Source organism: Homo sapiens, chromosome 10 (genome assembly GCF_000001405.40).
Source record: "Homo sapiens chromosome 10, GRCh38.p14 Primary Assembly".
Taxonomy (NCBI): domain Eukaryota; kingdom Metazoa; phylum Chordata; class Mammalia; order Primates; family Hominidae; genus Homo; species Homo sapiens.
This window is the reverse complement of record NC_000010.11, coordinates 105,177,792-105,193,335: the sequence shown is the minus strand read 5'-3', so window position 1 is coordinate 105,193,335 and position 15,544 is coordinate 105,177,792. Positions and strand designations below refer to the sequence as shown.

Below are 15,544 nucleotides of genomic sequence, written 5' to 3'. Positions count from 1 at the left end.
TCTGCCCTTATTTCTGGGTCAAAGAATGTGGCTGAGTTGTGTATCATTTGGAATATAGAAGGACAGAAACAATCTCAGGCAAGTAATTGCAGCAAATGCTCTGTCCCTTGTCACCCTGGACTGTGCTAGGATTTCCACAAACAAATATGATTTGCTGGGACCCTAAATAACCCACCTCCTTTAATCCACCATTCAGGCCTGAGTAAGCCTTTCAGGAAGGGGAGTAATTAATTTGAGGGAGGGAGGCGGTTCACAAAAATAAAAGACCTCATTAGAATTCTATACACAGAGAGGGTTAGCTACTCATTAATTAAATGATTTCAAAGGGGATCTCTGTATATAATTGCTATAATTTAGGTGGAAAGAATGCCACACTAAATGTAATTAGAGGACTAGGCTCTGTAAAGATGTTTTCCTCTTTATAGGAGAGCAGCCCTGGGTTACTTGACTCTCGCCTGCCTAGTCATTTGATTCTTTTGTAGCCTCCCAATTATGCCAACTTTTATGCATAGTTATGAAAGCTGAGAGAAGTTTCAAGAAGAGAATGGTTGACCACAATCCTTCAAGAAAGAATCAGAATTTGTTCCTAGGAAGCCACTAAAAAACGTCGAAAAGGAAGAACAAACAGTGCTTTGGGAGTTATATTAGTGGACTTCACTGCAGGCTGACTATTGAGTGCATCTTTGATCAAACTCAACTAAGATAATATTGTTGAGTTTGATTTGCCATTGACTCACAACTGGGACGTCCTTCTTTTCTGTCCTCAGAGACTCCAGTGCCTGCAACTCGAGTTCTTCTAACCACCAACTGTCCCATTTCCATCTGCCGGAATAACATCTTCAGAAACAGAGCAGGGTGAAGCCGACTCTGCCAGCCCCTTCCTGAGTTTCTTCTTTCTGTTACTGCCTTGACTGGACTGTCAGTCTTCAGGCTAGAAGCCTCTGCATCAAGAGACGCAGGCTTCAACATGCTTTTCCTCTGCTTGGGATGGCTTACCCCACACCTTGTCTTGTCCAACTCCTACTCATTCTGTAAGCCTTAGGTCAAAATACAGGTAGTAGGTTTTGATTGGAGGATAAAAGGGGCAGGAGAAAAGCTTTTCAAATCTAAATATTTTCCAGAGACCATCCTTATTTCCTCTTTAAGAAACAAAATGATTCATAAAGAACTCACGGTTTTGTTTCCAAATGTATGAGGTTTCTTCCTTTTTCTTTTCAAAGGCATACAAATTTATTAATGTGAGTATGGGCATGGAAGTCATATAGAATATAAAAAACTGAAGTTTTTTATTCTTTGTTTTCATCACCATCATTTTATTTAAAATCTCTAATTTAATTGCAAATATTTAAAGAGAATGTGGTTTCAATGATAATCAGCTCTTTGAAAGTAGTCTAGACATTGTATTTGGCTCAGTGTATGGTCAACATGTTGAAATATATTAAATGTTTAGGAACAGGGCCGCACAGCAGGAGGTGAGTGGCTAGGGAGCGAGCATTACTGCCTGAACTCTGTCTCCTGTCAGGTCAGCTGTGGTATTGGATTCTCACAGGAGCATGAACCCTACTATGAACTGTACATGCAAAGGATCTAGGTTGTGCATTCCTTATGAGAATCTAACTAATGCCTGATGATCTGAGGTGGAACAGTTTCTTCCCGAAATCAACACCCCCCACCTGCACTCTCACCCATGGAAAACTGTCTTCCACGAAACCAGTCCCTGGTTCCCAAAAGGTTGGGGACTGCTGCTTTAAATCAAGCTTTCTAATAATGTTATTCAATATTCAAAATCATACTAACCTTTGGACTACTTGGTCTATTGGTTTCTAAGTGAGGTTTATCAAAATGTTTTCCTACGATTGCAAACCTTTCATTTCTCCTTGCATGTTTTATAGTCTTTATATTATATAACCACAAAACTGTACAGGTTTTGAGATTATTCTATTTTCTTGGTAGGTTATTCCTTTTACTTGTAATTCAAATACTACCTTTCTATTATGTCCTCTCTGATCTTTCCTCCTTGCTTCTTTTCCTTCCTCAGAAGAAAATAAAATCACTCTCCTCTGAATTTCTTAGCATTTTATCTGTATTTTGGGTATGACCCACAGCACTTCCAAAATGTATCAAAAATCATAGCATATGTACATAAGTGTCTTATTCTCTTTGCTAGATTTTAACTTCTTAGAACTTTGCAACTCACATAAGTTGTGCCTTATGCATCACAGGTGCTTGTCACATATTTATTGTCTGAGTGGCTGTAGAATAAAGTGCTTAAGCACAAAAGTGTTCATATTAGATGGCCCAGATGAGAGCCCCAATCCTGGAACTACAGAGGGTTCCTTACACACTTTAAACTTACTTTCCTCATGTGCAAAATGAGGATAATAGCAGTATCTAACACGATTTTGAGTTGTATTTTATAGTGATTGCTATAAATTAACAAATTAATAATTTTAAACAATTATTAGTATGGTTATATATTATGATTATTTACTTTGTCTTTGCTGGATGTCTAAGAACTTTGTGGGCAGACAGTGTGCCTTATGCTTTTATATCCCCATGATCCATACCCATAAGACTTTGCAAACAGTAGATCAGCAGATCTCAGTCAAATAACAATAATAATTAATATTACTAGGCCAGGCACAGTGGCTCACGCCTGAAATCCCAGCACTTTGGGAGGCCGAGGTGGGCAGATCATGAGGTCAGGAGTTCAAGACTATCCTGACCAATATGGTGAAACCCCGTCCCGTCTCTACCAAAAATACAAAAATTAGCTTGGCGTGGTGGCACGCACCTGTAATCCCAGCCACTCAGGAGGCTAAAGCAGGAGAACTGCTTAAACCCGGGAGGCAGAGGTTGCAGTGAGCTGAGATCTGCACTCCAGCCGAGGTGACAGAGCGAGACTCCGTCTCAAAAATAATAATAACAATTAATATTACTAATATTAGTGAAAAATTATTGAACACTGAGGGTATGCTAACAACTATGCATGGATCATCTCATTTTATTCGTTACTCCCATTTAACAGATGAGGAAACTGAGGTTCAGAAAAGTTAAATAACTCATCTGACAAGGTTACACAGCAAGTAAATGATGAAGCCAGGGGTCAAATTTAGGCATTTGCAGCAACCATTCTAAAACAATTCTCAGCAATGTGTGTTTTCAGCAAGGCTGTTACTCTTTTTTAAGTCCTTCATGACTCATTAGCAATCATTTAACTGCACAGTTTGGCACTGAGGTATGGGCAATGGGATGCTCTCACCTCCAGCTCCTAATAGCCTGTTTGCATAAAAGGCAGAAATGCCTTGAAATATATAAAACTGAAAGTACAGTTGGAGGAAAAAAGGAGAAATCTGCAGAGAAGAGGTTATCTAGAAAGTTCCAATTATGACCCTATTTGTCTCAAAGGCTAAAGCATCTACTGCATGAAGAATTATGTAGTTGACTCTGAGCTATGAGTCTATTGGCTTAGCCTCCAGTTGGGAATCCCTGAGGCATACAAAAGAACAAACAGAATTATAAAGTTTCAGTGCTGGAGGGGTCTTTATGGATGAGCTTCTGACCAACCTTTTCACATGCTAGCTGGGGAAACTAAGGCCTGCTCAAGGACACAAAGATCTGGAACCCAAGTCTCTTGACAGCCAGCTCTTTCTTCCAAGCTGACTGCTCTTCATGGGAAACTTTCAGCTTGCAGAGTCATGGTGTGCCATATGTGACCGCAGCACCATGAAAACTTGAGGAATGCAGAGTAGAGAAGTGATTCACATCCAGGACTGCAGTTAACTAGGAAAGGCTTCAGCCAAGACTTACTTTCCAGATTTCACTGCCTTTTCTCCCAGGCTCCTGCGCCTAAAGGGTGCTCTGCATTTTCCAAACTCCAGCCTGCCATTCTGTAACTACAGATGTGCACTACCAGTTTCTTCTAAGACAGAGGATCTTTGATGTGCTAAGACGTGGCATTCCCCTGCACAGCCTTTCCTCTCACTTTATTGGATCAAATGAATCATCAGAATGACAGGGACAAAGATGAAATGAGCCTACTCCTATCCAGAGACAGCTTAACTATGCTGCTCATTGAGCCACTTGCGTGGGTGAAAGTCAGAAATACTAGGGCGCTAGAGTCTAAAATGGGTTTCATGGGTAGCCAGCAAGCTGAGGGCAGGCAAAGACCCTCAATTTACAAATAAAGAACCCCTGCTAGAAGTGAGGGAAGAAGAGAAATTCTCACATTGGTCCAGGGGTTACCCTACATTCATATGTAGATAAATGAACTGTAATCAACTGCTCTCCAGTGACCCACTCTGGCTACATACAACTTCTCCCTATTGACACACTGGATTTATTTCTCATTCCTCTAAGCAAATAGTTAAACGTGCTGTGGATTCCGGTGAGTCATACACCATCTCCTCTACCACCTCCATCCAGGACTCAGAATTAGCCATTGCTAGGTAACCACAAATCCCGACTCAATCCTTTCACCCAGCTTCAACTCCTTTTACTGGCTGGATGTCATTAATTTGAGAGCAAATTATTACAAACCTGGAAAACAGTTCTAAAATGCCTGCAGATTTATGATGAAGTCATTTCACAAAAGGTCACAGGCAACCCTGCTATAATTAAATCTTTCATTAATTTTTAAAATACACAATAACTTACAAATGCAGCATAAATTAACCAGATGACCTTGAAGAAATTAGAGAACTGTTTCAGCAGAAGCCACTATTTAGCAATTTCCTGAAATTTTATTTTACAAGTAGAATTTGTCTATTTCCCATTCTTACCTCTTATTGGGTTCTAGTAGTATGTTTATTTGAAATGATTTAGTATTAATTTCATCAGGGCATTGGTTAGCACTGGGAAGTGATGGTACACAGTTGAGGCTCTTTCTTCCTCCAGATCACAACCTCAAAGGGAGAGTAAGAGTGACCCACATCATCATCAGGATAAACTCAAATGCAGCCCCTCCCTTTCATTATCTGGGAGATGATTTTTTAAAATGTCATTTTAAATTTATCATTTTGATAAATGATTTCCCTTTTTCTCATTATAAAAATAATGCACTCTCATCATGAAAAATTTGAAAACTAAAAAAATCTGTAGATAAGAAAATAAAAGCCTCACTGGAGGTAATGCTTTTAATATTCTGTGATGTTCCTTTGATTCATTGGCATGTTATTCTTTCTCAGGCTAGGCAAAAAGCAAAAATCAAACTGAAGCCAGGGTTAGAATCTTTGGAAGTTAGAGGTACCCTGAAGCCCTTAAGCCTTAGCACTATCTATCTCCCCCAATTTTTTTTCTCTCTTTTACTCAGTTACACACACCACCACCACCAGCAGCAGCAGCACCACCACCACCATTTAAAAAGCTCAGAATTGGATTATAGAACTGATTCCATGAATGTCAGAGCTGAAATAAACCTCCTTCAAAATTGATCTTTCCTCTACTGAGGATGGAAGTGGCTTTTAAAATATAAACTTCTTAACAGTGACCCTGACTATTTTGTTTATGCCCTAGCCCAGCTTCTAGAACTCTTAAAACAGTGCCTGCCTTGTAGTAAGCTATCGATACGTATTGTTGAGTAAAGAAATAATAAATGTTCTTGTAATAGCAACACTTGATTCATGTGGACTCCCGAATCCTCTTTTAAGTGTTCCTATAAGAGTTCAGTTCTCTCTGAAAGGCCTGGCTCCCCATGCCTCCTTTTTCCTCTGCCTCCAAAAGCCCTCCTCCTTTCCCTCCCTCCATGAAGGAAGCTGCTGAGGACAGATTTCAAATCAAAGTAGAAAGAGCATAGTTGTGGCAAGGCCAGACATCAGCAGACAACAGCTGTTGGTCTCCAGAAATTCAGGCCACATTCTTGGCTATTGGTGTGTGTCCATGCCACCTGATTGTTTTCCCATTAGGATGTAGATGGGATTAGTGGTAAAGGAGGTCAGTGGCTACAGGGCGAATTGCACTGAGCGAAGGCCAGACATGAACTAGACCTTAATAGAAATAGGCAGGGGATCAACAGCAAGAATCCTGTAAGTGGAGACTGTTAGTTACACAATACAATGATTGGCAAGGTAGTGGAAAGCGGCAAAGATTGAAAGGCTTGAAAATAAATATGGGGGGAAGAGGTGGGTGGAAGGAAAACCGAGAAAGAGACTAAAAAGCATTGGGAGAGAAGAAGCAAAAGGAAGAAAGATGATTTCTAAAATGAATAAAAATAAATCATCCTAGTCCAAACAACTTTGATTCTTTTCTCAAAACTAACTAAATCCCTGTAATGGGCTTGAAAGTTTAAGGTCCATAACTGTGGGTGAGAAAATGTGGTCTGTGAACCTGTAGAAGATAAGTCTGGAGTTGAGCAATGACAGAGACTCTAAGAGATGGAAACAAGGGAGAAGATGGATATTTGAGATGGGATTTAGACAGGAGGAAAGAGGGAATTTTTTTTTTTTTTTTTTTTGAGATGGAGTCTCACTCTTGTTGCCCAGGCTGGAGTGCAGTGGCACGATCTCGGCTCACTGCAACTTCTGCCTCCTGGTTTCAAGCGATTCTCCCACCTCAGCCTCCCAAGTAGCTGAGATTACAAGTGCCCACCACTACGCCCAGCTAATTTTTGTATTTTTTAGTAGAGACGGGGTTTCACTATGTTGGTCAAGCTGGTCTCAAACTCCTGACCTCAGGTGATCTGCCCACCTCAGCCTCCCAAAGTGCTGGGATTACAGGTGTGAGCCACCGCACCCGGTTAAGATAGGGAAATTTAAAGAGCTATAAGAGAGGAAGGGAAAGAGGGACACTGTGTTTTCTTATGTCATTAAAATGTCATGACATTTCTCAGTTTCCTACTTTATGTCAATTCCTGAACCAAAAAATAAAAAGAATCAGAAAAAGTATAAAGTTCAGTACCTGCTCTTAGTTTGCCATCGAGTCCAACAGAATTACTTACTCACCATATATTTGCTGAGCATCACCTATGCACGAGGACAATTATGTTCAGTGCTATGGGAGATAATAAATAAGACACAGTTGCAAGCCTCCTCAATCTTACAGAACAAATAAAAAGCCCTGGCATTCTATCTGCAAAGATAATCCACATGTAAAACAATCAGAAAATAGTACAAGAATTATTATTGCATTATTGTTGCATAATAAGAGTGCATTATTTGTGATAATGTCAATTCACCATGACCCACCAATTCCACTTCTGGCTTGCAACTCAGAGAACTTCTTCCATGTATGTACCTGGAGGCATACATAAAGATGTGGTAATACTGTTTGTAAGAGCACATAGCTAGAAATAACCTAAATTTCCATTGATAAGAAAATAGATAAATAAATTGTGCATATTTATATCATGACAACATGCCATATAGCACGAAAAGTGCCTGGACCAGATGGATATGACCCCAGATAGATAATATTGAGAGAAAAAATCATGTAGAAGAATATTATTTTTATAAATTAGACATTTAGAAAACATATAAAGTGATACCACATATATTTCTATGAATACATAAGTGCTGAAAGTGTCCACATATGTTCTAGAAGGGGTTGTGGAAGGAGTAAGGATAATAAGTCTGAGATGGACAATAATGAAAATATCAATTCTATCTAGGATTTCCTGTATATTTTATTTAAAAATCTGAATCAAAGTGATAACAGATTAATATTTATTAATTTCAGGTGGTGGGTACACAAGCTTTGTAATATTATTCTTTGCATTATTCTGTATTTCTTAAATGTCAACAAAAACCTGTAAGACAATAATGTAGTTATGAAATTGCAGATATAGAATCCAAATTGTGAATCACAAATTTAAAATCTTACCAGAGCAGGAGGGCAACTTCAACGAACAAGGAGTGAAACGGGACAGCCGGAGAGGACATGTGTACACCAGGTGAGGGGTGGGGCAGAAACAGCATACCCTGTCCGAAGTGGGCAGTTGCCATGCAGCTTCAGGAGAATGTTGGACTACAGGGTGTTGGACTTAGTGCTGCCAGATGTTTCTGATTTTGCAAATGTGGGCTCCATTGGAAAAAGTACACACCAAGCAAGATACACCTGTGAGTCACTGTGAGCCCCATGAAAGGAATTCAATATAAGGAAATGAGAAAGAACTTGGGCTTCCTGAAAGAGGTGAGACTTATATGTGGGGTTTTGATAAGAAATGAGGAGTGTTTTTTATTTTATTTTTTTAACAAAAGCTGAATATACCATTTATGACAACATTGGTGAACCAAGAGGACATTATGTTAGGTGAAAAAAGCCAATCATCGAAGGACACATACTTTATGATTTTACTTACATAAGGTATCTAAAATAGTCAAACTCATAGAAGCAGAGAATAGAGTGATAATTGCCAGGGGCAGGAGGAGGTGAAAATGAAGAGTTCTTCAATGCACATAAAGTTCCAATTATGCAAGATGAGTAAGTTCTAGAAATCTGATGTATAACATAGTGTCTGTATTTAGCAATACATTATTGTACACTTTAAAATACATCAAGAGGACAGAATTCATGTTAAATGTTCTTACCCAAAAAAACTCACAAAAGAACAAAAGGTAATTTTTGGAGATGATAGGATATGTTTAGTAACTGCAATTGTGGTGATGGTCATGGTTGTACATATACATCCAAACTCATCAAAATGTATACATTAAATATGTGCAATTTTGTATATATCAATTATATCTCAATAAAACTTTTTTAAAGAAATAAGGAAACTTCTAAGCCATTTCATAAAAAGTATATTTTCAATATTTCATTAGGCAGTGCAATTGGAGAAGCAATTTATAGCTAGGGGAAATATGTAAAAACTGTCAAAAATTCAAATGGTATTTTTAATATATTTACAATGGATAAAAACCCATGGGCATTCTTGTTCAGGGTCAAACTACAACCCACGGGCCATGTCTGGCCAGCTCTATGGTTTGGACGGCCCACAAGCTGAGAGTTATTTTTACATTTTAAATGGTTGGGGGGGAAAAGCAAGTGAAGAATTATATTTTATGACATGCATGTGAAAATTATATGAAATTCAAGATTCAGTGTTCATAAAGTTTTATTGGAACACACAGATGCCCATTTGTCTCCATACTGTCTATGGCTGCTTTCACCCACTAGGCTAGAAGGATTGAATAGTTGCAACAAAAGCCCTATGGCCAGCAAAGCCTAAAATCTTTACTGTGTGGCCCTTTACAGGAGTCTGCCAACCCCTGCTCTAGCTGGCCAAAACTCTTCCCTGCAAGTGGCCTGTTTCTTGATCATTAGATCACAGAGATTACCAACATGTCCAATGTTCTTCAATAGAGGTTATTATTTCACTTAGTCCTCACATCCACATGAGGAAACGGGAGCTCAGAGCGGAGTGAAGCAAGGCACTAAAGTCACATAGGTGGTAAACAGCCAGCTGAGCATTTTCCCTGGAAAGTGAATCTCCAAAGCCCATGCTCTCAGTCACCACACCATCCCTCCCCCTGAGCCCACACAGCAATCCATTGATCAAAATAAGCTTTTTCCTTCCAGGCTGTTGCCAGTCCCCAGTATACCCTACCATCATCCAATACCCCCTCTGCAGGCATGGATTCTGCTTTTGTGTTCCTTGGCACAAACAAGAGTGTGCCTCTGAGTTGCTGGCAAGCCTGGCGACAATCTGAAGGTTATGAATCAAGCAGCCAGCCTGAGAGGTGATGACTTGGGAGTTCCACCGGATTTGCCGATTACTCGAATGACTTACTTTGGGCAAAGTAAAATCAGGCTCTTCCAGCAAACAACAGAGAATTGAAAAACAGATCAATGGAAGCAGCTCTGGTTCATTTTCAACGACTTTATCGGATGCAGTTACTAGAGGCTAAACAATGCATTTAAGCTCAGTGCTGAGCCTCTGCGTTGTGCTAAGGCTGTATTTAAAAGAATGATCCCTGCTAGGCATGTGGTCACAGTTTTTTAAGTGGAAAAGGCTTCATTTAAAAAAAGAAAAAAAAACCTCTGCAGCTTTGGGGTTTGCATAATTTTCTAAGCAAAATGATCTTTCTACCCTTCACTTTGGCTGTTAGTTCTGCTGGTGGAACAATTAATCAGAGATTTATGCCAATTACAACTGGATTTATAAGAGGAGTCAACAAGGCAATTGGCCCTAGCCAAAGGTATCTGTAGCCCTTTTCACCTCTCACTTTCCTCTACTGTCCAGGCACATTCCTACCACTCCATGTCTGCTCACACTGTTCCACCCACCAGGAATGTCCTTGCTCCCTCTTTTCTGTATAGCCATGAACCCCTTTACAGCCACTCTGTCTTCAATCACATCTTTGATATCTAACGGCAACTAAAATGTTTCCCATACTGGCCAGGCGCACTGGCACATGTGTCTGTAATTGCAGCAATTTGGGAGGCTGAGGTGGGCAGATCACTTGAGCTCAGGAATTCAAGAACAGCTTGGGCAACATGGCAAAACCCCACCTCTATAAAAAATACAAAAATTAGCCGGGAATGGTAGCAAGCACCTGTAGTCCCAGCTACTTGGGAGGCTGAGGTAGGAGGATCACTTGACCCCTGAGCCTGGGAGGTCAAGGCTGCAGTGAACCATGACCGCATCACTGCACTCCAACCTGGGCAACAGAGTGAGACCCTACCTCAAACAAACAAACAACATCAACAACAACAACAAAACACATTTATACCATACCTTACCATTTAATCATTATCTAATTATTTCATGTATTTATCGTACTTCTTCAAATGGATTGTGAATTAACATCAAGAACTAGGTCTGCTGTGACTTGGTGTCTGGCAGCATAGCAGGCACTCATCTTACTAAGTAAACAACTGGTATACTGCCACTGTTTCCCCACACATCTTGGTACTCCTTGATGGAACAAACCTTAGAGAATTATAGTACCTTCCTTTAAATTTTACCTTCAAGCCTGGAGCTTGAAATTCACATTCCTTGCTCTTATTTTGCCTCTTTATGAACATGTGAGCTGAGCCTCAGTGTCCTCATCTGCCCAATGATGCCAATCCTATCTACCTTCCAGAGTTGTTGGGAGATTTCCATAAAATCAAGTTTGAAAAAGTGCTCAATGTGATACCTGGCACAAAAAAAAAAAAAAAAAAAAAAAGATGCTGAATAGTCACAAGTTGGCTGCAAGGTCTTCACTGGGTTCCTCCAAATCAGACTAAATTCTCCTTAAGCATTTTAGACATTCACTCATGGTAAGAAGTGTCTGATCTCTTTCAGAGAAGCTGTACTTCTCCCTTCTAAGATTTTTTTTTTCTAGGAAGCTGCTAGGTTCTCTTTGGCCCCTGTAAAACTATAGCTAAATCATAGCCAATTGGTTCAAACATTTCTTATCAGGAAAGAATTTCAAACATAGCTTTGAGGATGCAGGAAAGCAGTGTTTTTCTATCTGATTCCACATCTCAGTCAAGCTAAAGAAAAGCTCTCTTTAAAGTGCTAATCAAAGGGCAAACAGCCTTTCATGAAATAGTGGACCAAAGAGGCCCAAGTGCTGCAACAGCCACAGGCATCTCATCATCTGGAGAGCCACTGCCTGAGACTGCAATAGGCCCTCCAGCTTGTCAGTCAGCCTGTCCTCAGCCTTAAGTAATAAGAACAGTCACATTTCATTTTGAATTTGGCTAGACTAGATGGTTCCCATTACAGTTACCAGGGGGATGTTTAAATAATAACATCTGAAAAGACAGTAGTAAAAAGAGCAATAAAGGTAGCCAAGTCCCAGGCCTCCACTCTGGGGACTGTCTCCCATGTAAATCCTCCTGCAAAGCTACGGTGTTAGAAATGTCCATGTTCCTGGAGCACTGGCCTCCAGGAAAAGTGGAAATTGGGCAGATTATTGTGAAAGGTGGAGGAAATCAGAATCATTCCCAGTAAGCTCCTCATTCTCTAGCTGCCCTTTTGTGCCCACATGCCATTCCACCCCAATGTATCATAACCTCCATATAGACACCTCTACACACATATGCAGTCTGCTCTGATTCCTATCCAACCCCAGCCCCCATGATTTGCACCTACTGCATTCTGACCATAGCATTTCAGAATCTCTAGAGATCTATAATCAATTTCCTAACATGCTAGAGCCATGGGCCAGAAAAATCACAACAATCACAACAAAGGTAAGATTTTTAGAAGTCACTTGATTCTTCCATTTAATAATTCATTTATCCAGTACATATATACTGTTAAATCCTCCATGTTAGCACAAGCCTGGTAAATATATGGCACTGAAAGAACAAGATACACAAAGATCCTCCCTCATGGGAACTTAAAGTCACATGCAGGGATGTCTGTGCACGTGTGCACATGTGTGTGCATCCACATGTCTGTCTTAAGGGTAGATGAAGATGGAGGGGAAAGATATTCAACAACTAATACCCTTTGTATTAACATTTATTATCTAAAGTGCTGTGAAGGAAAAAATAAATAAGGCCAGATAACATAGAGCGTGGGAACCCATCCTGATCTGGCAGGCTATGAGAACTGATATTTAAACTGAGATCAGAAAGATACTTAGAAATTTAGTTGTTTAAGTAGGGAAGGCAGGCCCATTCTGGCAGATACAAAGAACCTGGGGGCAGGAAGGCACCAGTGCATCAGAAAAGGGTGGTCAGGTCAGGGAGGTTGGAGAAAAAGCCCCAAGCAGGTGGTCAATATAGATACTTGTAGGCCATTCTATGAGTTTAGACTCTATCCTAAAGGCAATGGAAAGGGCTCCATGGGTTTTAAGAAAACTGGTGATTTGATCAGATTTTTTAATTTCAAAAATATCACTCTGGATACAGGTCAAATTCCTAAATGTGACCTAAAATCTTTCATAGTCTTACTCCCTTAACACCCAGCCACCCTCTTTCATGGTTCTTACCTTTGTTTGTGTTCTTTCCTTTGCCTTGGAATCATTCATTCATTCAACGATTACTGACTTCCTACAACATGCCAATCCTTGCTTTCAGCACTGAGTTTATATTAGTGAATAAAACTGTTAAAAATCTATGCTTTCTTGGAACTTACATTTCATTCTCTATTATATGGTTTTCCACTTGTGAACTGCTATGAAAACTTCCAGACCAACTCAGTTGTCACCTACTGTGTGTGTGAATTCTTCGTTTTCCTCTGCTATCTCCTGGCTGTATAACTAGGGTACCATGATGATTACTTTATCCCCACTTACTCTCACCACTTAAGTCTGAGAGCTCCTTGCAGACAAATAATTTCATTTGCCTTTATAAAATCTCCTAAGTTCTAACAAGGTCTGATATATATTAGAAGCTCTCTAACTGTTAAATATATAAATTCTCCAAATCAATGGATAAGAGAAAGCAACAGAACCTTAGAGTGGCTGTTTTTTCTCCCTGACCACACAGAGCTAAAGAGAGAATCAGGGTTAACAGTAAGGGGAAGGATACACAGTATTTGAATGACCTACTTTATTAATAAGTTTTCAATTCAACGGCAAAGCTAAGCATTCTTGTCCCCAAATGGACTCCCTGTCTTCACAGTTCCTACAGAAATACATAATATTTTAAAACTCCTATTTCAATCTTTGCCATTGCCATTCCACAACTGGGCAACCCTAGTAGGCCAGTTGGTTTCAATACCATTTTCAAATTTAGAATAGAGATAGAAATCACCTCTTGGCAACCCTTCCAGGGCTTGTCCAGCTATCTGAAGAGTCCTGACAAAATCTGTGTTGTTTTCATACAAAAGAAACTCTGAATTTAACAAAATGTGAAAACAGGTAACTTGAATTGTTTATATTCATTTTGATGAATACTTCCAAGATCCATCTTAATTTCATAAAAAGATCCCCTATAAGAAAATGATTATGCTCTATTCTCTAAGTATCTTGATAAGAAAATAAAACAGGCACAGAAGCTCTGTCAAGCTCTTAGGGAGTCTTGGCCAGGAGGAAAGGAAAACAGGAGTGCTATCTCATCTTTTCAGTAAATGGTTTGGCTCTGAGGTCAATCTCCCTCATATCCATGTGACCAGCTAAACTCCATCTGAAGCTGAGAAAAAAATTATTACCATTTAAGATTAGATGAACACAGAACTTAAGCTGTGGCCTTAAACTTGCTAGGGAATACCAGGTCATGTAGAGATTGGCATACACATGATGTTGTTCAAAGTAATGCCCAAAAGAAGATGCAATGAGTTCAAATAGGCCTCATAGACGAGAATGGGGCCAAACTATAAGATTTGATCAAAACTGCATAAATACAGTTACAAAGAATTTTTTTATAACTGATCACTTATTGGCTCCTAGATTGGCCTTTCTTCCAAGTCCATCACCATTGGAAAAAGACTAATTCAAACTATAAAGAAATCTATGTGTACAAAAGTTAAAACAAGAGCAGTGTCCCTAAGCGTAGGAAGATCATACACCCTTCCACCGAACCAGCACAGATGCACGCTGTGAGCCCTTCTGTGCCAACTCCACACTGTAGCAAATATCCCTTAATTTTGCCCAACAAGACTCCACTCTGTCCAGTGAAGAGCTGAGGTGTAAGGTTCTCCAGCCAAATGGGAGTAGGGGAGGTGGGGGACAGTATTGGTTGGTGGAGGATTACGGTTACCCACTCACCATGTACACATGTGCACACATAAACACAGGTGATCAACTTCTAAGATTAAATCTCATTATAAAAGAGTATAGAAAAAAATTTACAGTGAAATAATCTGAAGCAAAATAACTGTGGAGTGTGTGTCTGTGTGTGTTTGTGTGTGTGTGTGTCTATGAGAGAGAGAAAGAGACATCTCTTACAATATTTCTGATTTCAATAAGTTGACTGTTTTACTCCCTCCATCCCTGCCCCTGCTCCTTATCTCCCACTAGACTGTTTTGGAAAGAGAAAAAAACCATCTAACGACATAAGTTTTCTGTTTGCTTGGGTTTTAAATAAATGGGAATTTGCTATAATTCTTTAAATTCTATTAGAAACCTTGACTGTTCAATTAGGACCCTAGCCTCCCTAATCCTGGCAGTAGCTTTTTGAGTTTGTAGGTATAAAAATAAGTATTTCCATTTTATAGATGAGGAAATTTTGGCCCAGAGATTGGACCACTTTGGTGTAGGGTTCCCTGGGAAAAATCCAAGGCCTCAATGAAAGTAGAACCAGTGTCTCTGGTCTTCTTCCTGTCACAGCAAAAGAAGTACTCACGTCATGATGTGGGTCTCCATTCCTGCCTCCACCAGAGCCCCGTCAACAAAGAGAGGAACCGAAGTGAAACCATACTTGTCCCAAGAGTGGCCCTCATCAAAACTCACCCTGTGTTGGAAACAAGTACACAAAAAAGACAGCTGAAAATAAAGCCACACTCTTCTGTAACCGTTTTTCAGGTTATTAAATTTTCCTCTGTATCTTGCTTTCTGGCAGTGTGGATTATCAATAGGTTTTAATCTTCAACATCTCCCCATATTATTATGAGATTTGATCAAAACTGCATTTCTGGACTTGGGCGGAGACAGCACCTAGAGTTGCAGATATATTTCAACACATTAGAATCGACAAACAGCCCAAGCAGGAGGGCTTAGTGGATGGA

General features: G+C 39.8%; 1 protein-coding gene across 2 annotated transcripts in view; it reads right to left on the bottom strand.

Moving 5' to 3' along the window:
- SORCS3 (sortilin related VPS10 domain containing receptor 3) overlaps positions 1 to 15,544 on the bottom strand; it is a 623,953-nt gene that overhangs the window by 71,907 nt on the left and 536,502 nt on the right. For both annotated transcript variants that reach the window (NM_014978.3, XM_011539542.2), the window contains one exon: positions 15,163 to 15,270. In NM_014978.3, the coding sequence (NP_055793.1) occupies positions 15,163 to 15,270 (108 nt within the window). The remainder of the gene's footprint in view (positions 1 to 15,162; positions 15,271 to 15,544) is intronic.